Below are 22,070 nucleotides of genomic sequence, written 5' to 3'. Positions count from 1 at the left end.
ACCATGCCTGGCTAATTTTTTTGTATTTTTAGTAGAGACGGGGTTTCACTGTGTTAGCCAGGATGGCCTCGATTCACTGACCTCGTGATCTGCCAGCCTCGGCCTCCCAAAGTGCTGGGATTACAGGTGTGAGCCACCGCGCCCGGCTGAGAAATTTTTTTTTAATATAACACTGGCCCCAATATCCTTTGAGAGGACCAGAAAGGTGGACCTCAGGTGTTACAGCGGCCCCTAACACTATACTTCGGCTTGATTTGTTTTGTAGAAGGGAAACTAAGTGTGGAGAAATACTCTATGTGCAGGCCTTCCTAATGGTTAGTCAGGATAAGGATTTAAAATACGCTTGTATATGTTTGATAGAAGGAGAGAAAAATGAAGGACTAGACATAATTCATGACCACTTATGCAAGTGCCTCCTAATCCCAGGCTTCCCCCAGCTGGTTCCAGACTCCCCACTGTAAGTTCAAGTGCTCCGGAGGAACAAAGTCAGACTCCTAGTTCCCCAGAAGTGTCCAAAGTATTATTAACCCCTCCTAGTTATTTGGGGTTGTCCGATGTCCTGCCATCACCTCCTCCTTACCCTTCAAGCCCTGTCTTACATTCGTTCCCCAAAGAGCCTAGCTTCACCAGCACCACTCTTAGTGGGGCCTCTTACCAGCCGTCGAAGTTGACTCTTTGCTGTCTTCAGGAGCTGGCAGATGGTGACAGGGGCACTCTATGGGTACATGTACCCTTTTCTGTGCCTGACAGCCTTATGCCAGAAAAAATTCAGCTGGTTTTTAGAGGGTCTAGGAAAATTCATAGATGAATTTGAGAGACTAACATTGACATATTGTAGGGAAAAGAAAGAGAGATCAGACTGTTACTGTGTCTATGTAGAAAGGGAAGACATAAGATACTCCATTTTGAAAAAGACCTGTACTTTAAACAATTGCTTTGCTGAGATGTTGTTAATTTGTAGCTTTGCCCCAGCCACTTTGCCCCAACCTGGAGCTCACAAAAACATGTGTTGTATAAAATCAAGGTTTAAGGGATCTAGGGCTGTGCAGGACGTGCCTTGTTAACAAAATGTTTACAAGCAGTATACTTGGTAAAGGTCATCGCCATTCTCTAGTCTCAATAAACCAGAGGCACGATGCACTGCGGAAAGCCGCAGGGACCTCTGCCCTTGAAAGCGGGGTATTGTCCAAGGTTTCTCCCCATGTGATAGTCTGAAATATGGCCTCGTGGGATGAGAAAGCCTGACACCCGTAAAGGGTCTGTGCTGAGGTGGATTAGTAAAAGAGGAAAGCCCCTTGCAGTTGAGATAGAGGAAGGCCACTGTCTCCTGCCTGCCCCTGGGAACTGAATGTCTCGGTATAAAACCTGATTGTATATTTGTTCAATTCTGAGATCAGAGAAAAACCACCCTATGGTGGGAGTCAAGACATGTTTACAGCAATGCTGCCTTGTTATTCTTTACTCCGCTGAGATGTTTGGGTGGAGAGAAACATAAATCTGGCCTACGTGCACATCCAGGTATAGTACCATCCCTTGAACTTCATTATGACATAGATTCTATTGCTCACATGTTTGTTGCTGACCTTCTCCTTATTATCACCTTGCCCTCCTACTACATTCCTTTTTGCTGAAATAATGAAGATAATAATCAGAAAAAACTGAGGGAACTCAGAGACCGGTGCCGGTGCAGGTCCTTGGTATGCTAAGCGCTGGTCCCCTGGGCCCACTGTTGTTTCTCTATACTTTGTCTCTGTGTCTTATTTCTTTTCTCAGTCTCTCGTCCCACCCGACTAGAAATACCCACAGGTGTGGAGGGGCAGGCCACCCCTTCAACATATGATTTAACCTGGCAAGATTTGCATATACATCTGTCTACCTGCTTCACAGAAGAAGAAAAGCAGCATATTATGGGAGCTGTTAAAGCATATGCAGATGGAGTGGCAGCCTGCAACCAGGGGCATGACATCTATCCAGTAGGAGGTACAGCAGTTCCTGACTGGGACCTAAATTGGAGTTATTAAGAGGAAGTAAGTTTGGGCAGCCAAGGTTGGCAGATCACTTGAGGTCAGGAGTTTGAGACCAGCCTGGACAATGTGGTGAAACCCTGTCTCTACTAAAAACACAAAAATTAGCCGTATGTGGTGGCATGTGCTTGTGGTCCCAACTGCTTGGGAAGCTGAGCCAGGAGAACTCACCTGAATCTGGGAGGCGGAGGTTGCAGTGAGCCAAGATCTTGCCACTGCACCCCAGCCTGGGCAACAGAGTAAGACTCCGTCTTGAGGAAAAAAACAACAAAAAAAGGAAGTAAGAACCTAGAGAGGAGAAACCATATGATTATTTGCCTCCTTGAAGCAATGAGAAGATTTGTGATAAAGCCTGTTAATTATGATAAAGTCAGGGAAATTACTCATGGAAAGGATGAAAACCCAACCTTGTTCCAAGGGCAGTTAATTGAGGCCTTGAGGAAATATACTAACACTGACCCTGACTCCAAGGAGGGACAGGCATTGCCAGGAGTTCATTTCATAATCCAGTCTGCTCCTGATATCTGCAGGAAGCTACAAAAGCAAACTTAGGCCCCTGGACTTCCATAAATCAGCTTTTAGACATGACTTTTGCAATTTTCAATGGCCAAGATAGGGCAGAGGAGGCAGAGAAAGTAAAGCAAACCTCCCAAAGGCCCAGCTTTTAGCTGCAGCCTTGAGCTCTCCACCCCTTCAGAGCCAGCCCCTTATCCCCCAAGCCCTGCCAGAGGAAGCTAGCAGGCAGAAAGCCCCATTCTGGGCCTCCGAGCCACTGTGCCCTGGGCCACTGTGTCCTGGGTGTAAACCAATGTGTTTTCTGTAAGAAGGTTGGTCACTGGAAGAGGGAATGCCCTGTGTTCCCAAGAATCGGCTCCTGAACCCATAATGGCCCAGCAGACCTAAGAGTGACACCAGCCCAAGACTTCACACCTTATTTCCTGTTGGACAATTAGCCATTGCTCTGGAGGAGACTCAGGTGACTCTTGAAGTGGCAGATAAGATTATTAATTTCTTATTCAATATGGGAGCATTTTACTTTGTTCTGGCCCAGCATAATGGAGCCCTGTCTTCTATAGCTGTACAGGCATTGATGGGCAAGCCCAGAAATGCCACTTTCCTTATCCTTTAAGCTGTCCTTCAGGGACTCTGGTTTTCTTGCATGGCTTTTTAGTACTACCTGCATGCCCTACCCCTTACTGGGGAGGAATTTATTGATTCGGCTGCAAGGCATGGTTACCTTCAGAGAGCATAAAACAAACGAGTGTTACTTTTGTTCCTCTCCCCTGAGGAGAGAAAAAAGGAAGATAAGGATGCATTTTTCTGCACCCAGTGCATCCAGATCCACACCTCTGTTTGACTTTGAAAGGAATGATCCTGATACTCATTCAACCTCACAACTAACCTGGACAGTTCTCCCTCAAGGGTTGCGGGATAACCCACACTTGTCTGGAAATGCTCTAGCTAAGGACTTGAAGAATCTACAACTGCAAAAGGGCACAATTATCTAGTATGTAGATGATTTGCTCATTGCTAGCCCAACTAAAGAGAACTCAGATAATACTACCGTTAAATTGCTAAATTTCCTAGGAACTACTGGATATAGGGTGTCACCACACAAGGCTCAGATTTCTACTCAGAAAGTCAAATATTTTGAATATATCTTTTTTATAAATTTTTTTATTATTTACTATTTGTTTCTCTCTTTATTATTTATAACACTCCTCCAGAATCAATTTGGGTTGCATCTTAACCTCTGGTACCCAAGCAATAGCCTCAGAATGGAAGGAAGCTCATTCAAGAGCCCCATACCAAGAAACCTATGTGGGCCTTTTTAGGGATGGCTGGGTTCTGCCATTTATGGGTGCCTGGATTTGGGCAAACATTTCAAGTCTGTATGTGAGGTTCTATAAAGGACAGATTTAAAACGCTTTGATTGGAATGAGAATAGCAGACAAAACTTCAATACTGTCAAAGCGAAATTGGGCTCTGCTCCAGCCTTAGGAATCCCCAACTTGGATAAGCCATTTTTCCTTTATGTGGCCAAAAAGCAAGGTATGGTCTTGGATGTTCTTGTCCAAAAATTGGGGAATATTCCACAGCCAGTAGCCTATTTTTCTAAGCAACTCGACCATGTGGCTTCTGCATGGCCTGGATGCCTTTGGGCTGTTGCAGCTACTGCTCTTCTGGTAGATGAAGCTAATACGCTAACATTAGGACAGCACCTGGAGGTTTTGACCACACACCAAGTCCAGGGGGTCCTAGAAGCTAAAGGGCACCAGTGGATGATGGGAGGATGTTTATTAAAGCATCAGGCCTTACTGTTAGACACACCAGACATAATTCTTGAAGTTCTCCAAGTAAACCCAGCTGCTTGTCTGCCAGAGTCCACAGACGCTCTAAACCATTCCTGCATACAGGTTATGGAGCAAATTTATTCTAGCAGGCCAAACTTAAGAGATGAGCCTCTTAACAATCCTGAGACAGAATGGTTTACAGATGGAAGCTGAGCTAATTGCTCTTACTAGGGCCCTGCAATTGGAAAAGGATGTAAAAATTAACATTTCTGATGATTCCAAGCATGCCTTTTTAATGCTTCATGGTCATGCCGACATTTGGAAAGAGTGGGGACTTCTCACTGCTAAGGACTCCCCCAGAAAACATCACTCGGATATTTTGAGCTTGTTAGATGCTGTTTTACTGCCAAAAGAAATGGCTGTAATTCATTGCAGAGCACATTTTGATGATATTATTAAATGAAATGCCCTTGCAGATGTGGGGGCCAAGGCCACTGCACTAAAAGAGCCAGTTAACGCTTATGGGCATCCTAGTGCCCACAGCCCCAGACATAGCCGAGCCAGTGTACTCCAAGGAAGAACGAAAATGGGCCAGGGATCACGATTTGGCCCAGGACCCCTCTGGCTGGTTAATGATAACAAATTACTAATGCCAAGTGCCAATCAGTGTAAAATAGTTAAGCATTTTCATAATTCCACTCATTTGGGAAGGGATTCTTTATTTCAGTTGATATCTTATTTATTTATGGGAAAATTTTTCAAGACACTAAAACAGATGACTTCAGCCTGAAAGCTCTATGCCCAAAATAACCCAAGCAGCCAGCCATTGCCCCCACCTCTAGTTAAACCTGTCCAACATAAAGGAGCCTATCTGGGTGAAGTCTGGCAACTAGACTTTATTTAAATGCCTCTATGTAGGGGATTCAAATATTTACTGGTGTTTATTGTTACCTTCACTGGTTAGGTTAAGGCTTTCCCCCACTTGATCCAAAAGAGCTTTAGAGGTCTCGGCCAGGTGCGGTGGCTCACGCCTGTAATCCCAGCACTTTGGGAGGCCGAGGTGGGCGGATCACGAGGTCAGGAGATCGAGACCATCCTGGCTAACACAGTGAAACCCTGTCTCTACTAAAAATACAAAAAATTAGCCGGGCGTGGTGGTGGGCGCCTGTAGTCTCAGCTACTTGGGAGGCTGAGGCAGGAGAATGGCATGAACCCAGGAGGCGGAGCTTGCAGTGAGCCGAGATCGTGCCACTGCACTCCAGTCTGGACAACAGAGTGAGACTCCATCTCACAAAAAAAAAAAAAAAAAAAAAAAAAGAGCTTTAGAGGTCTCTCAATTTTTTTTTTTTTTTGAGATGGAGTTTCACTCTTGTCGCCCAAGCTGGAGTGCAATGGCATAATCTCGGCTCACTGCAACCTCAGCCTCCTGAGTTCAAGCGATTCTCCTGCCTCAGCCTTCCAAGTAGCTGGGACTACAGGCATGCACCACTATGCCCAGCTAATTTTTGTATTTTTAGTAGAGACAAGGTTTCACCATATTGGCCAGGCTAGTCTCAAACTCTTGACCTCGGGTGATCCACCTGCCTAGGCCTTTCAAAGTGCTGGGAATACAGGCATGAGCCACCACACCAAGCCTATCTAAAAGTTTATTAAAAGAAATAATTCCTCAGTTTGGATTACCTGAAAGATTGCAAAGTAGCTATGGCCCCTCTTTCACGGCAGGCATAACCCAATACCTATCCTTGGCATTGGGAATCCAATATCATCTTCATTCTGCATGGAGACCCCAATCCTCTGGAAAGGTGGAAAGGGTTAATCATAGGCTAAAGAGGACTCCGGCTAAATTTGCCAGGAAACATCAGAGACCTGGCTATCTCTATTGCCTGTAGCTTTACTGCAGGTTTGAGCTGCTCCAAAGGGAAACTTATAATTAAGTCCTTTTGCATTAACATATGGAAGGCCTTTCCTAACTGCAAATCTCCTAATAGATGAAATGATTCATTAATTACAAAAATATGTTATCAATCTAGGACAAGTGCAAAATGCATTGTGTGAATATGGATATAAAAGGCTTTCCCTCCCCACATGAGAGGAAAATTCTGTTTCAGTTCAACTAGGGTATTTAACCTTACTAAAGACTTGAATGGAAGGGTCTCTAGTGACCAGCTTTCCCCAATGTGGAAAGGTCCATATCAAGTGCTCTGAGCACTCCAATAGCAGTTAAACTGCAAGGGATTCACAGTTAGGTACATTTGTCTTGAATTAAACCTGTTTCTTATGGAGCCCCACAAGCTACCGACGCCCAGTCTGCTAATCTAGTCTACCGTTGTGAGCCAGTAGAAGGTCTACACTTCTGACACCCAGTCTGCTAATCTAGTTTACTCTTGTGAGCCAGTAGAAGGTCTATACTTCCTCTTCAGGAGAAATCCTTGGAAGCTTCTTACTACAAAGTGATGCTCTGGATAAGCTTGGGGGCAAGGTTAGTCTTCCTGATCCTCCTCCTGGTCGTCTTTTACTTTTACTGGTATGAGTCTGTCCCAGCTCTGGGTAAGCAATATCTATGTCCTTACAGGATATAACTATAGAATGTAGCTTCTCTTTTATTTGTGTCTATTTTGGGGCTTCTATCCTTCCTTTCACTATTGCTGGAGGTTCAAATCTTTTCTTACAATGGGCACAGGACTATGCCGATGTCCTCTTGCTGGATTTGTGAGCTATTGCCCTTCTCTAGCATCTCAGGCTTGCCCTGGTGGATATCCCCCACACAGGGACATGCTTAGATAACTTACAGACATACTTAGAGGGACTTAAACAATGGACAAAAGCACAGATGTCTGGCCTGACTTGGAACAATGTAACCCAATGGCCAATTAATAACAATTTTAGCAATTCTGGGCATAGGAAGCCATTCTCAGTAAATGAGACCACAGAAAAGTTTCTTGCACTGGGCACCTCCTTTCTAGACCCAAAGATAAACATCCAAACTAAAAAGCTCAAAAACTCCAGTTTTGAAGAATGATTTCTTCAGATTTGAGATGGTTTTCTATGACTAACCACCTCTGCAGGACACCTAAGTCAGGTAGTCCCACTGTGTTAGGAACAATGGAATCACTCCCTTGATGCCTTGACAAATGCTACTTGTGTCATGGGATGGATTCCTGCAAGACAATGCCAACATACCATAGTCCTGCAACAAATGGACTTATCTGCTACCGATTGGTCGCAACGACCAAAACCCAACTGATATGCATCCCTTAGGAACTCATTGGATATGTGGCACCAATCTTTGGCCATGATTGCCTTCTGGGTGGCTAGGACATTGTACATGAAGCTTATCTTGACCCCAGGTCACTGGACAAAGACTATTTAAAAAAGCCAGCCAGGCTGGCATGGTGGCTCATGCCTGTAATCCCAGCACTTTGGGAGGCCGAGGTGGATGAATCACTTGAGGTCAGGAATTTGAGACCAGCCTGGCCAATTATCCAGGTGTGGTGGTGCACACCAGTAATCACAGCTACTTGGCAGGCTGAGGCAGGAAAATTGCTTGAATCCAGGAAGTAGAGGTTGCAGTGAGCCGAGATCATGCCACCACACTCCAGCCTCGGCAACAGAGGGAGACTGTGTCAAATAAATAAATAAATAATAAATAAATAAATAAATAAATAAATAAATAAATAAATAAAGCCAGCCAACCTTCTCCACATAACCAGTATGTGGGCCAGATCCATTTTTCATGGGTATAACCACTTGGCCTCACTCTTCCTACCATCTGTTAGATTATAAGATGCTATCTGGCATGTTGAGGTCATTGCCAATGATACCCCATGGGCTGTAAGTAACAGCCTGTGAGATATATCTTTTATAAATGCTGAAATGTATTATATGCATAAGGCTATCATGCAAAACAGAATGTCATTAGATACTCTGACTGCGGCACAGGGAGGAACCTGTGCTATTATCAGAATCAAATATTGTATATATATCCCAAATAACTCAGACAATATTTCTTTGGCCCTCCAGATATGCATCAACAAATTAAAGCCATCTCTAATCCCACACTTTCTTTAGATAATGGCTAACATTGTGGTTTGGGTCAGGGCCATCATGGTGGAAAAAGTTCCTTTTGTCACCCCAGCTATAAAAATTGGAATAGGCATAGCTTTATGTTGTGGATTTTATTGTTGCTGCATGTTTTGCATGGAATGTAGGGTTTACTGGGCCCTATTCTTATTATTAATCCTTAATTCACAATGTATGGTACTCATATATCATGTTTTATAATTATAGCTATAATTCTTATAAGTTTCTATGTTTAGGATATCAACTTATGAGTGACCTACAAACCTACAGACCTATTGCTCCTCCAGTTAACTGCAACAGCTTCAAGCTACCTCTGGTTAAGACCCCTCCCAACATGACAGGTCCCTTAAAGCTAGGCAGAGTTAACATCAATGACGTTTCTCAGCAGGAAGAGGTTGCAGAAGACTGACCTCTGCCCTTCAGTGTCCCTTAGGATTAAGGGTCCACTCATGACAGAAGGGGGAAATATGTTAGAGGAACCCCTATTTACCAGGCCTCTGGCTTGATAAAACATGACCAGAGCTGGGCGTGGTGGCCCACGCCTGTAATCCCAGTACTTTGGGAGGCTGAGACAGGCAGATCACCAGGTCAAGAGATCGAGACCGTCCTGGCTAACATGGTGAAACCCCGTCTCTACTAACAATACAAAAAATTAGCTGGGTGTGGTGGCACATGCCTTTAGTCCCAGCTCCTTGGGAGGCTGAGGCAGGAGAATCGCTTGAGCTGGGGAGACAGAGGTTGCAGTGAGCTGAGATCGTGCCACTGCACTCCAGCCTGGGCGACAGAGTGAGACTCCATCTCAAAAAAAATAAAAATAAAAATAAAATAAAATAAAAAAGAACTATGACCAGAGTGATGTCACCTTTCAGTGAATAGTGAGGCACCCACAAAGCACCTATAAGGTTAATACTTATGGTCTGAAAATAGCCACATCCCAAGCTGACCACCACTTATAATTACAGAATATTTATGGCCAGACAAAACATCTCTCACCAAGCCTGCAGAATGTCCAGATGTCCTGACAGTGCAGCCCTCTTTGCTTAAAGATAATGTTAAAGAGCAAGCTGAGGTTAAAGGATTGATGGTCATCGATAACACTGACAGCCACTACCTTTAGTGAGCACATCAGAGCATGTCTGCACATTCCAAGTTTAATTTACCTCTTTATAGTTTCTTATAAGTACAGACACTAACAAAAGATGGAGTGCTCCTCCTCTTGCTGAGGATGCCCTAGACTGTAACAGAGTAGTTTCCAATAAACTTGCCATTTCACTGTGCTCTGTGACTTGCCTCGAATTCTTGCCTGTGGGAATCTGAGAATCTGCTCTTGGGGTCTGGATCAGGACACTCTTTTCTGGCAACAATTAAGACATCAGGGTAAAACCCTCATGAATAGAATTAGTGCCCTTATAAAAGAAGCCCAAGAGAGATCCTTTGTCCCTTCCACCACATGAGGACAGGAGTAAAAGATGGCAGTCTGTGACCCAAGAAGGCCCTTACGAGACACAGAATCTGCTGGCATCTTGATCTTGGCTTTTCCAGTCTCCAAATAGTTTCTGTTGTCTGTAAGCTGCCCAGTCTAGAATCTTTTGTTATAGAAGCCTGAATGGACAAAAATGGACTGTGATGGAGCAGAATAGGATCCAGCAGGAAACACATCTTTGGGTCCAAGAGCCCAGCTACTGATCTCTTAACATGCAGTGTAATGTAGAGGTAGATTCCTGCCATATTCCAGGTCACTTTTGGAAAAAAAAAAAGAGTCCATTATGGACTTAATGTGGAAATGTTTAAATATTAGGCTAAAGCATCTGGAATTATTTGATACACAATAGGGAGCCATTTAACACTGTAATTGGGGTGTTAAGTAAGAGTACTGGAGGAATAAATGGAGTAGGAAGACCTAGAGTTAGAAACTGCTGTGTAGAGAATGCGATGGAAGCTTGGATGGGTGAGACCAATGACAGTAAAAATAGTCAAGATGAGACACATAGAAGACATTACAAAGGGAGAATCACATTTTTATTTCTGGCTGGGATGGTAAAAAAGGAAACAAAGTTGATGCCAAGATTTCGAACCAGGAAGAAAGAATGTTGGCTATAATTTTTGAGAAAAATAGAGATCTAAAGAGGGAACAATTTGGGGAGGAGAGATGGGTCCTGAAAGTTTAATACAAGTTGCTTGAGAGGATGATAGATCTCATGGATGGGAAGATGAGGGACTGGAATGTGGAGATGCAGATTTGTGAAGTATCCACTTACAAGTGAGAGGGGAAGCCATATGTGGGAAAGTAAAAACAGAATAGAAATTGGAGCCATGAAGTACATAGCCAAGTATGATGGCTTTGGGGGAAATTAGGAAGAAGTAGAACCAGAGACGGAGAGATCAGAGAGCTAAAAGAGTCAGGACTATGTTGTCACAGATGCAAAGGAAAAAGTGAGCTACGGCCTCAAATGATACTGCAAAGTTAAGAACAATGATGACAATGTCACTGCTTATGGCAGGTCCCCAAAGAGCTCTTGCCAGAGCAAGTGTGGCATTTTAGCTGCGCAGTGGGACCCTTGGCCATTGAAAATGTGTTGTTTGCTTGTAGAGGAAGGAAAAGCTATTAAGCATACACTCCATTGTTGTCAGGGCCTGTCCTGGCTGAGAGAATGTGGCCATCTATTTTTATTCAGAAGAGAAATTCACCAATGATGACAAAGTCTGGATAATTCAGAGTCCCCTGCTGCTTTTTAGGTGGGAAAGAAGGGGAAAATCACAAATGGAATAATGCTCTGTGAAAAAAGCTACCAGCTCCAGGAAAGTCTAACTTCATATATGCCAGCCTGTTCTGTCATTAAGTTGAGCTCAGTTCCTGGAAAGGAAAAGAAGGGCTGGCTAGTTCAGTGTGCTTCTATGCGTGCAGTGAGAACTCTGCCCCAGCAGCAGGGCTGTGTCTGGCTGGAGGGACACTGGTGACTAACTCTTAAGCTCTATCATTTCTTACCCTTCAGCACTATGGAGTATGGTTCTTGGGAACAGTATTATTGAAGCTGGAAACATTTGTTGTGCAGCCTTATTGTTCTCCAGCTCCTTGAAGTTACTTGAAAATGTCCCTTTAAGAGATAACAAAGACGCTTTTTTTTTTTCATGTTGCTATTTAAAGCTCTCCTACCAGGCTTTGGAGCTACACCCGATGAGTGACTTTGAGAGAGGACATGTACAGAGCAGAAAGGCACGGTGAGTGGAGACCACTCCAGAGAAGTTTGACAATGAAAGGAAGGGGGAAGATGAAATAGCCTCACATCTATAAACAAATCACATCTGAGCCTTTGTTGTGTATGGGGGGGAAATTGTTCTCACTGATATAAGGGTCAATCTGGAACTCTCGATAGTCTAATCATGGCTGGGTAAGTGTGATGACCAATTTGTCCTGGTTTGCCTAGGACTCTCCTGGTTTAGCACTGAAAGTCCCATATCCCAGAAAATGCCTGAGTTCCGGGCAAATCTGGACAGTTGATTGATCACCTTAAGTAGGAACCAACTGGTGTTGCCCCAAAATGATCAAATTAGATATATCATTGGTTGCCTTGTGATAGAAGATGACCTGTTCTCCCAATCTTCTCTGTTCCTGTGCCCAGTAACAGGATCCTTATCCCCCATGGGGTTTGTGTGACTTTCCTAGATTGAGAGATTTCTCTGCATTTTGGGTGTCACGGAGGCAGAGAAATGAAATTTTAGTGCCTTTCCTATGCTTTTACATAACACCTCATTTAATTCTCACAACAACCATGTGAGGTGGGTACTACCATTTCCAATTTATGAATAAGGATTCTGAGGCACAAAGAGGCCTAGGCCTGTCTGTCTTCAAACTCTATACTCTTTGCTACATCACACTTGGCCCTCAAAGGCCCATGGAGACACAGGTGTTTGATCCACATGGTGTGGGAAAAATGCAAGCCCATCGCTAGAGTTGGGGCACAGAATAGTGTCCACATGTATTATTAATCTTTTCAGGTTGTAAAGGAGCCAGATGCCCTTCCTTAAGAAGCCCCTCCTTCCTTATGGCGATTATTTTGATACTTCTTTGGATCATATCCCATACTGTGCCCTCTCTGAGTACAGAAAACAAAAGGAACATCCAGGCCCAATGGCTTTGCATTTCAGAGGATATAACTGTGAAAGGGAAGGTTGTAGGGTTAAAAACTATGCACTACATAAGTCAGGTGCTGAGGCAAATGTCTGTAATCTCAGCACATTGGGAGGCCAAGGTGGGAGATTGCTTGAGCTCAGGAGATTGAGATCAGCCTGGGCAACACAGCAAGACCTCGTCTCTACTAAAAAAAAAAAAAAAAAAAAAAAAATCAGCCAAGTGTGACACATGCCTGTAGTCTTAGCTGCTTGGAGGGCTGGCACAGGAGGATTGCTTGAGCCTGGGAGATTGAAGCTACAGTGAGCCGTGATCATGCCACTGCACTCCAGCCTGGGCAACACAGCAAGATCCTGTGTGTGTGTGTATATATATATGTGTGTTTAGACAGGGCATGGTGGCTTATGCCTGTAATCCCACCACTTTGGGAGGCTGAGGCAGGCAGATCACCTGAGGTCAGGAGTTTGAGACCAGTTTGGTCAGCATGGAAAAACCTCATCTCTACTAAAAATACAAAAATTATCCAGGCATGATAGTGCACACTTGTAATCCCAGCTACTTGGGAGGCTGAGGCATGAGAATCTCTTGAACCCGGGAGGCAGAGTTTGCAGTGAGTGGAGATTGTGCCACTGCACTCCAGCCTGGGCACCAGAGTGAGACTCCGTCTCCAAAAAAAAAAAAAAATATATATATATATATATATGTGTGTGTGTGTGTGTGTGTGTGTGTGTGTGCATGTGTGTGTGTGTGTGTATGCACTACAATATGGATTCTGATATTTAAAATGAAATACCTACTAGATCAAAGCACTCAGATTATAGAAATTCTTCACTGTGAAAAGGTTGACAAAAATCTATGCCTGAGACAGAGTATGGCTATCCAGGTGCCATTTCCCTTTTAATTACTATGCCTTGTATTCACTTTTTTTTTTTTTTTTTTTGAGTCAGAGTCTCGCTCCTGTTGCCCAGGCTGGAGTGCAGTGGCACGATCTTGGCTTACTGCAACCTCCACCTCCCTGGTTCAAGTGACTCTCCTTCCTCAGCCTCCTGAGTAGCTGGGATTACAGGCATGCACCATCACACTCAACTAATTTTTGCATTTTTAGTAGAGACGGGGTTTTGCCATGTTGGCCAGGCTGGTCTCAAACTCCGGGCCTCAGGTGATCCGCCCACCTCGGCCTCCCAACGTGCTAGGATTACAGGTGTGAGCCACCACCCCTGGCCCCTGTGTTCACATTTAAATTCTTGCTTCTTGTCTGAAAAAGCAGTATGTTCTATCCTCTTAAAAATGAACTACAGTTAAATATATGGTCAACACATTTTCTCCAAAATATGAGTTTTAAAGTTCCCCTGTCTAGAGGAGTTAGCAGTCAAACTAATATAGTTTAGATTTAAATAGTCCCAAGATCTACACGGAATGTGCTGGACGTAGTTTAAATGAAACATAGGCTGGTGGAAGGACCAGGTGTGTGAGCCTGAGGCATAGCTTGTTTTTCAAAGAAATAGGGAAGCATTTAGCACCTGGCAAGGGGGCAGCAACTTGATTTGATGCAGATTGTGGTGCTGTGTGGACCACGCAGAAAGGTGTAAATTGGGCCCAGTTCAGTGGCTCATGCCTGTAATCCCAGCACTGTGGGAGACCAAGGTGGGAGGATTGCCAATTAGGTGGGAAGGCCTTGACAAAAGATCTGGAAAAGGAGTGGGCAAATTCTGCCCACTTCTTTCCATCTCCACCACTGCCCAATGCCAGGCATCATCCTTGCTCACCCGGTGTAGTGCAATGGGTTTATAATCAGTCTCACTCCTTCTATTTTGCACCATGTCTCAGTTCACACACCAGGTCCTTCCACCAACTCATATTCCATTTAAACTACATCTAGCACATCTAGAAAAATCTAGCTCTGTATGAATCTTTGTAGTATTTAAATCTAAATCATATTATGTTGACTGCTAAGACAGGGGAATTTTAAAGCTCCTATTTTGGGGAGAATGGATTGGCAATATTTACCAGCAGAAGGCGTAATTTTTCACAATTTACAAAACTAGGTTATTACTCCCCAACTTAAAACTTCCAGTGGATTCCCTTCACAAGGAAATAAACTCTGAAGTCCTTCTCTTGGCCCATGAGGCCATGCATGAGCTCTCCCTTGCTTGCTCTTTTGCCTGACCTCCCACCCTTATGCACTTTGCTCTGGTCTTGTCACTTATTCCAGCACAGGGCCTGTGTACCTGCTCTTTCTACGAGAATTCTCCTCTTGTTCTGTATTTGCTCTGTGGACTCCTTCTTGCCACTTAGTTTTCTGCTTACATGTTACCTCCACAGAGAGTCCTTACCTGACACCCCCAATATAAAGTAAATCAATGAGCACTCCCATGAATAAGCTGAGTGATTTTTGACAAGTTAATCTACCTAAAGCTAATTTATTAATTCAAAAGTAGGACTTATAAGCAGGGCACGGTGGCTGACACCTGTAATCCCAGCACTTTGGGAGGCCAAGGCAGGTGGATCACTTGAGGTCAGGAGTTTGACACCAGCCTGGCCAACATGGAGAAACCCTGTCTCTACTAAAAATACAAAAAAGTAGCCGGGTGTGGTGTCAGGCACCTGTAATCCCAGACGCTCGGGAGACTGAGGCTCAAGAACCACTTGAACCTGGGAGGCAGAGGTTGTGGTGAGCCAAGATCATGCCACTGCACTCCAGCCTGGGCAACAGAGTGAAATTCTGTCTCAAAAAAAAAAAAAAAAAAAAGGGGGCCTATAATAACCAATAGGGTTGCACAAGGATCCAATGAGATGAAATAGGGAGTGTGTAATAGATGAGTCACTCTATGAGGAAGGTCATTCTCATGGTCACCTCCCTCCTCCAGGCCTTCATGTGTTCCCACTGCCCTCCTGTAGCCATGTCTGGTCTTTCCATTTTCAGTCCCCCTCACTCCAATGTATCTTATATTCCACTGTCAGTTTGATGATATTCAAATTCTATTTTTTAAAAATTATTTCCTCACTCTTTTAAGAATGTAAGCCTCCACACTTCCCCCCACTTTCGGCCCCCTTTAATCACCACGAGCCATTCCTTAAGCACTTAGGAATTCAAATAGTACTGCTTTAGGACTGAAACTTTGTAGATGCCATAAAGACAACTTGAAGGCATCTTTGTTTCCTAGGCCAAAATTTGTAAATTTTTTTGCTCATCTGCATTATTCTGCTCATCAAGAAAAAAGGAAAGTGTGGTCCTTGAGACTTGCCTTCTCTCTTGTGATTGGCTGTGGCAGTTGGCAGAACCTGGCAAAGTTGCTGTGATGGTGAGAATGGTGAGAGAGGTTCCAATGATGGGCACAAGTGTTGTCGCCAGCGAGGTGTGTGCAGGCAGTGGAAGGAGGTCTGACCGGAATATCAACAGAGGGTGATAATACTTCTTAAGGACCCACCAAATGGGCTTCTAGGGACTGAGAGTGAGTAGAGCAAACACTGCCCCCAGCACTCAGTCAACGAGAACATTGAATAGGATTGAACTGAATTAAACTGAACCCTTAAAAAGGCAGCATTTTAAAAGCTGCGAGAGTAATTTGAAACAAATTTAGGAAGAAAGTAGAGTGGTGTCAGATGTATGCTAATTGGGGCTGCTTTTTTTTTTAAGGTGAAAAGGAAATCATTTCAACTTAGGTTAATGTAGGCCTCATTGAAGAAAAGACCTCAGTGGGCTGGATTTATAATAGATAATCTGAGCACTGCCAGATTGTTTGCAGGGGATTAAAGTACTTGTTCTTTTAAACACTTGACAGGCACAGAATCCGAAATCTGGATCAGGCAGATATTAAGAAATCCATATTCCATAGCTTCTCAAACTTCAACATGCAAAGGAATCACCCGGGCAAACTTTTTAAAATGCAGATTCTGATCCAGTGGGACCAGGGTGAGGCCTGAGACTCTTTCCTTGTAACAAAATCCAGATGAAGCTGATGGTCTAAGGACCTCATTTTGAAAGGAAAGGGTCTGTTTTAACCTCCTTGTTTCCTAGAGGAGAAACTGAGGCTCTGAGAAGTGAAATGTCTTGCCTATGCTCCCAGAGTCTCTGGCTCTAGTCACGTGCTTTTTTTCTATTGTGCTTTGATGTTTTATTGAAAGAGTCTGTAGAAATCACAGCACCACACAAAGCTACCTGAGTGGTGACAGCCAAGGCATGTTGGCAGCTTAGATGGTACCAAGGGCAGAGTAGGACAAAGCGTGGAAGAAGGAGGAGGAGGTGGTGACCAAGTGTTGCTGGTCAACAAAGTCATGCTAACACGTATAGCAGGTGTATTTAAATCACTGACTCAAGCAAAAGAGAATGGGATTAACAAACAATAGTTTTAACATTCTTTTCTATAATTTTAAAGTTAGTAGGCAAACAGGGTTGATGTCAGGGAGATATTTTTAGGCAAGGGGCCCTCTCAGCACCCCTCACATGATGTCAGTAACTAAACTATTCTGCCTCCTCATGTGGCTGGCGCTGGCAATAATGATTTATTTCTGAGCTTTAACTTCAGTGAAAGTGACAAGGTTAAAAGTTAAAGGTCAAAGATTTTTTAACTCTTAACCTGTTAACCAGCCAATTAATTAGTTACTTTAATTATGCATTGTTGACCTGTTTCCCTGCTATGGAAATATTTAATTGTAGGGAAAGAAAATGTATAAAGATAATTATTAAAGTAATCTCTTTGCCTTCTTGAGATTTTAACACAATCACTTTGCTGAGGCTAATTCCCACATTGGGTTCCATAATCCTTGGCTTCGACGCTGCGATTCCAGTACCTTCACTGTATCCTAAAACAGAACCACCCTCTCCCAGATCCATTCCACTTCACAATCTGAAGTTTTCCACCTATACTAGAAATCTCTCTAACTTTATACTTATTAGTTATTGAATTAGCTAGTTAATTCTTATATCTGGTGCTTTTGTATCAGTACTATTCTATTAAATTACAGTTGCATTGGCCAAGATAGTGCTAAAGTAACTGGATTATCTAGGGGTAGCTGGGACTCAATCTGTCTGCTTGGTTACTTGTAAGCCAACACACCCTAGTTTCACCAGGACAGCATCCCAGCATACACCTTGGAGACCTTGGTGCTGTGGAGGCCCTGGAAAAATTAAATGAAGTTAGGTGATTATACACAGTGAATTTGCTTGTGCCCAGGAAACAGGCATAATGATAACCCAGACACCTATAGCAGAGTCTTGGGGTACATATGGAGGTTACAGAGACAGGCAGGAAGGAACCAGGAGTTAAGGTATCTGAATAGTTAGTTTAGGTCTCCTTTTACTTGGCATCGGTGGCTTTAGCCTGTACACATCAAAGGTCAGAGTGTACAGAATCCCTTTTGCTGCATAGGCCACTTCCCAGGATGTCCTTAGCTGAACTTTGAACCAGTGAAAAACAAGAAAATAAACACTGCTCCCTTACCTTGCCAATTTTTAGTGCATGCAACACTATACAGTTATTCCAGAAGCGAGAAACTATCTGTCTAAAGTTATAACTTTTGATACCTCAAGTATCATTAGTCATTTTACTTTTATCCCTCTGAATATGCAAAATTGTTCAAGCTTGTAACAATCTTTGGTTTTGGTGCATAAGCCTATATAAGTTTTTCAACTTGAGAAATATTTCACTTATATTTCATGGATGCATTTTGGACTCAAGAGAGCTGGGGAGAAGAGGGCCACACTTAGAGAATATTGTTGGCGAAAAAAAGGTGTTAAACTCTGCGGAGTTTGAATAGTATATACAGAAAATACAGTTGTGCTTATTAACCAGTAGTATGACACAGCAGACGAAATTTTAAGCTACATGAGAATGACTTGCAAGCAAACATAGCAAATGTTGACTGGAGAAAAGATCACAGCATTTAGACTTTAGAAAACAGAAATTCTGATCAGGCACAGCGGCTCATGCTTGTATTCTCAGCACTTTGGGAGGCCGAAGCGGGTGGATCACTTGAGGCCAGGAGTTCAAGACCAGCCTGGCCAACATGGTGAAACCCCATCTCTACTAAAAATACAAAAATTAGCCAGGCGTGGTGGCACAGGCCTGTAGTCCCAGCTACTCAGGAGGCTGAAGCAGGAGGCTCTCTTGAACCTAGAAGGTGGAGGTTGCAGTGAGCTGAGACTGCACCACTGCACTCCAGCCTGGGCAACAGAGTGAGACTCTGTCTCAAAAAAATAATAACAATGAATTAAATAAATAAATAAATAATAGAAATTCTGGGCCAGGCACAGTGGCTCAGACCTGTAATCCCAGCGCTTTTGGAGGCTGAGGTGGGCGGATCATTTGAGGCCAGGAGTTCAAGACCAGCCTAGCCATCAAGGTGAAACTCTGTCTCTACTAAAAAAATACAAAAATTGGCCGGATGTGGTGGCATGTGCCTGTAGTCTCAGCTACTCGGAAGGCTGAGGCAGGAGAATCACTAGAACCTGGGAGGTAGGGGCTGCAGTGAGCCAAGATGGTGCCACTGCACTCCAGCCTGGGTGACAGAGCAAGACTGTCTCAAAAAAGAAAGAAAAGGGAATAGAAATCCTGGATTCTAGGCCTTCCACTTGTTTCCTCACCACCTCCTCCACTTCCCCAGATCCCCCCACCCATCACCATGTTGTAACTTTACAGATATCATAACTACTCTTGTTGATTATAGAAGAAAGAACCTAAGCTGTCAGAAAGCAAGTACTCTACCTGCTCTTGAAATGGAAACAGAAATTTACACACGGCTGGATCTCATTCTCAGTGCCAGCCTTTCCCCCACATCTTTACATAACTAATTTGCTTAACAATCCTCTTCCACAGGACACAAAAGTGATATGCGGCTCAGCTTCATCTGCATATTCACCACTGAATGTCCTCGTCATGGTGCACCTGCTCCTGTTTGAATACTTACCTTAATGGAACAGGCTGAGTCAGCATCTGCTTGCACCTGAACCCTTGATTGCAAGTAAGCGGATTGCCGGGAGGTGGCTGGGTTGCATCAGCTGCAGTAGAGGACAGCGTTCTGTTGGGAAGGCAGGGAAAGGAGAGAAAACTTCAACAGAAATAGTCCAAGTGTTGCGAAGTTAAAAATAAAACGATATCACAAGGGGCAATGTGACCAGGCTCAGCTTACGACTTTTTCCTTCCCCTGTATTTATCAACACTCAGTCTCTACTGGAGTGGCATTTAGCAGGGGAAACTGAATGGGAAGTGAAGTTTTATATCAATAGGTTTTCTTTCCCTTGAGGAAGGAGGAAAATCCTTTTAAGAAGGATCATTTTCAAGGCCAGAACAGCCTCTCAGATTCCTGCATGTGCAGTCGGCAGGCCCAGCTGTGCTGAAGGAGGCTGGCACAGCCTTCAGGACTGGCTGCTGCTCTAATTATAACCATGCTCCTCACCTAAACCCATCACTGGCTGAAGCAGCAACTTGTGCAAATGACATGGTGTCCTGCTTCAGTTTCTCCTATCTCTTGTCGTGACAAGTAAGTGTCTGTCCTCCCCTGGTCCTTTCATCTTTCCTGGAAAAGGGAGAGTTTGTAATTCAGATACCAGGTGTAGAGTAAATCCAGTGTGAGAGAATTAGAGGTTGTAGGAGGCTTTAGCTGTCATTTAGTCCAGCTCCCTCTTTTTACAGATGAGGAGACAGAGATTCAGAAAAGGGAAATTGCTCATCCAAGGTCACACATCTCGTTAGTGGAAGAGCCAGAGGAAAGCCCCAGAGAGCTTGTTTAACTCTCAGTCTAGCGTTCTTTATCTTATCATCTTCAGATAAACTCATTCAGGATCTTGTGAGTGAAAAAAATATAGAATCCCGGCTTTGGTGTTTTCTTTTTCTTTTTTTTTTTTTTGAGACAGAGTCTCGCTCTGTTGCCCAGGATAGAGTGCAGTGGCGTGATCTCGGCTCACTGCAACCTCCACCTCCTGGCTTCAAGTGATTCTCCTGCCTCAGCCTCCTGAGTATCTGGGATTACAGGCACGTACCACCATACCTGGCTAATTTTTGTATTTTTAGCAGAGACGGGGTTTCACCATGTTTGTCACGCTGGTCTCGAAATCCTGACCTCATGATCCTCCCACCTCAGCCTCCCAAAGTGCTGGGATTAGGTATGTGATTTTGACAAATTTACTTAACCATTTTCTATTTCAGTTTTCCCCATTGTGAAATGGCGATGATACTTGGTGCGACCACAGGTAACTGTGTCAGTACACATAAGGCACATGAATGATATGTACCACATGCCAAGTGCTCCACAATGCCAGCTGTTATTTGAATGTATTTGAATGTATTTTGACTAACAGCAGATGTGCTAAATTTGGCTGTGATTAACAGCCATCGAATTAACCTTTCCCCTGGATTCTTCATACATATATGTCCTTGGAGGTAAACTTATTTGGAATGAGCAAATAGCAGTTGAAAATTGTAAAAAATTTCTACACTGATCTTGTATCTTGAAACTTTGCTGAACTGGTTTATTAGTTCTAATAGTTTTCTTGTGGATTCCTTAGGATTTTCAAGACCATGCCATCTGTTAACAAAAATATTTTAACTTCTTTCTTTGCGATTTGGATGCCTTTAACTTCCTTTTCTTGCTGTTTTTCCCTGCCTAGAACTTCCAGCACTATGTTTAACAAGAGTGGTGAGAGTGGCCACACTTCACTTGTTCCTGATCTTAGGGGGGAAGCATTCAGTCTTCCACCAATAAGTACAATGTTACCTGTGGATTTTTGTAGATGGCCTTTATCAAGTTGAAGGAGAGGAGTTTGATAGTTTGTTCTAGTTTGTTGAGTGAATCAAGAAAGAGTGTGGATCTTCATCAAATGCTTTTTCTGTGCCCAGCAAGATGATCATGTGGTTTTTGTCCTTTATTCTATTAATATCGTGTATTACATTGATGAATTTTTTTATGTTGAATCAATCTTCCATTCCTGAATAAACCCTACTTGGTCATGGTATCTATCCTTTTTATATGTTGCTAAATTTAGTTTGTTAGTATTTTATTGAGAATTTGTTTTTTCAAGTCAGATGCATAATGTGCCAATGTTGAAACAAGCTTCGAGGGTAGCACTCACACATCCACGTGAATGCCCAATCATCACATTCATGAACTACAAAAGGATCTTATTGAGGATTTTTGCGTCTATATTCAGAAGAGGTATTACAGGTTGAGTATCCCCAATCTGAAATCTGAATTCCAAAATGCTTTAAAATCCAAAATTATTTGAGTGCTGATGTGACACCACAAGAGGAAAGTTCCACACTTGGCCTCATATGGTGGGTCATAGTCAAAACGCACTCGAAACTTTGTTTCATCCACAGAGTTACTTAAAATATTGTGCAATTACCTTCAGGCTATGTATATAAGGTGTATATGAAACATAAATGAGTTGTGTTTAGGCTGGTGTCCCATCCCCAAGATATCTCATTATGTATGTGCAAATATTCCAAAAACTCCAAATCTGAAACGCTTCTGGTTCCAAGCATTTCCAATAGGGGATACTCACTATAATCTGTAGTTCCCTTATGGCGTCTTTGTTCAGCTTTGGTA

General features: G+C 43.4%; 1 protein-coding gene and 1 non-coding gene across 2 annotated transcripts in view, besides 6 other annotated features; both read right to left on the bottom strand.

Annotated features, from left to right (window-relative positions):
- The window catches only part of FBXO40 (F-box protein 40), a 36,917-nt gene extending 17,360 nt beyond the window's left edge, over window positions 1-19,557 (bottom strand). The window contains exon 1 of the mRNA NM_016298.4: window positions 19,434-19,557. The gene's annotated coding sequence lies outside the window, so the exon portion shown is untranslated. The remainder of the gene's footprint in view (window positions 1-19,433) is intronic.
- Window positions 15,247-15,447: a silencer, noted in NCBI's record as "peak4794 fragment used in MPRA reporter construct". NCBI's record gives its function as "represses an SCP1 promoter by STARR-seq MPRAs in K562 erythroleukemia cells {active_cell/tissue: K562}" and the evidence as "EXISTENCE:reporter gene assay evidence [ECO:0000049][PMID:32103011]".
- Window positions 18,885-19,536: an enhancer, noted in NCBI's record as "OCT4-NANOG-H3K27ac-H3K4me1 hESC enhancer chr3:121312247-121312898 (GRCh37/hg19 assembly coordinates)". NCBI's record gives its function as "activates a minimal SCP1, AML or CMV promoter by ChIP-STARR-seq in primed H9 embryonic stem cells {active_cell/tissue: H9 hESC(primed)}" and the evidence as "EXISTENCE:reporter gene assay evidence [ECO:0000049][PMID:30033119]".
- Window positions 18,885-20,200: a biological region, named in NCBI's record as "BRD4-independent group 4 enhancer GRCh37_chr3:121311583-121312782".
- Window positions 19,001-20,200: an enhancer, noted in NCBI's record as "BRD4-independent group 4 enhancer chr3:121311583-121312782 (GRCh37/hg19 assembly coordinates)". NCBI's record gives its function as "activates an origin of replication core promoter dependent on BRD2, P300/CBP, MED14 and CDK7 cofactors, and independent of BRD4, by STARR-seq in HCT116 cells {active_cell/tissue: HCT116}" and the evidence as "EXISTENCE:reporter gene assay evidence [ECO:0000049][PMID:35650434]".
- Window positions 19,320-19,614: a silencer, noted in NCBI's record as "tiled region #577; K562 Repressive non-DNase unmatched - State 13:Ctcf". NCBI's record gives its function as "represses a minimal TATA promoter and a strong SV40 promoter by Sharpr-MPRA in K562 cells {active_cell/tissue: K562}" and the evidence as "EXISTENCE:reporter gene assay evidence [ECO:0000049][PMID:27701403]".
- Window positions 19,537-20,187: an enhancer, noted in NCBI's record as "OCT4-NANOG-H3K27ac-H3K4me1 hESC enhancer chr3:121311596-121312246 (GRCh37/hg19 assembly coordinates)". NCBI's record gives its function as "activates a minimal SCP1, AML or CMV promoter by ChIP-STARR-seq in primed H9 embryonic stem cells {active_cell/tissue: H9 hESC(primed)}" and the evidence as "EXISTENCE:reporter gene assay evidence [ECO:0000049][PMID:30033119]".
- LOC124906360 (small nucleolar RNA U13) lies at window positions 21,542-21,642 on the bottom strand. The gene has a single exon (XR_007096327.1). It is a non-coding gene; the product is annotated as a small nucleolar RNA U13 (small nucleolar RNA).
- Window positions 21,643-22,070: the final 428 nt, after the last annotated feature.

This window comes from Homo sapiens, chromosome 3 (assembly GCF_000001405.40).
Source record: "Homo sapiens chromosome 3, GRCh38.p14 Primary Assembly".
Classification (NCBI taxonomy): domain Eukaryota; kingdom Metazoa; phylum Chordata; class Mammalia; order Primates; family Hominidae; genus Homo; species Homo sapiens.
This window is presented reverse-complemented; position numbering and strand designations above follow the sequence as displayed.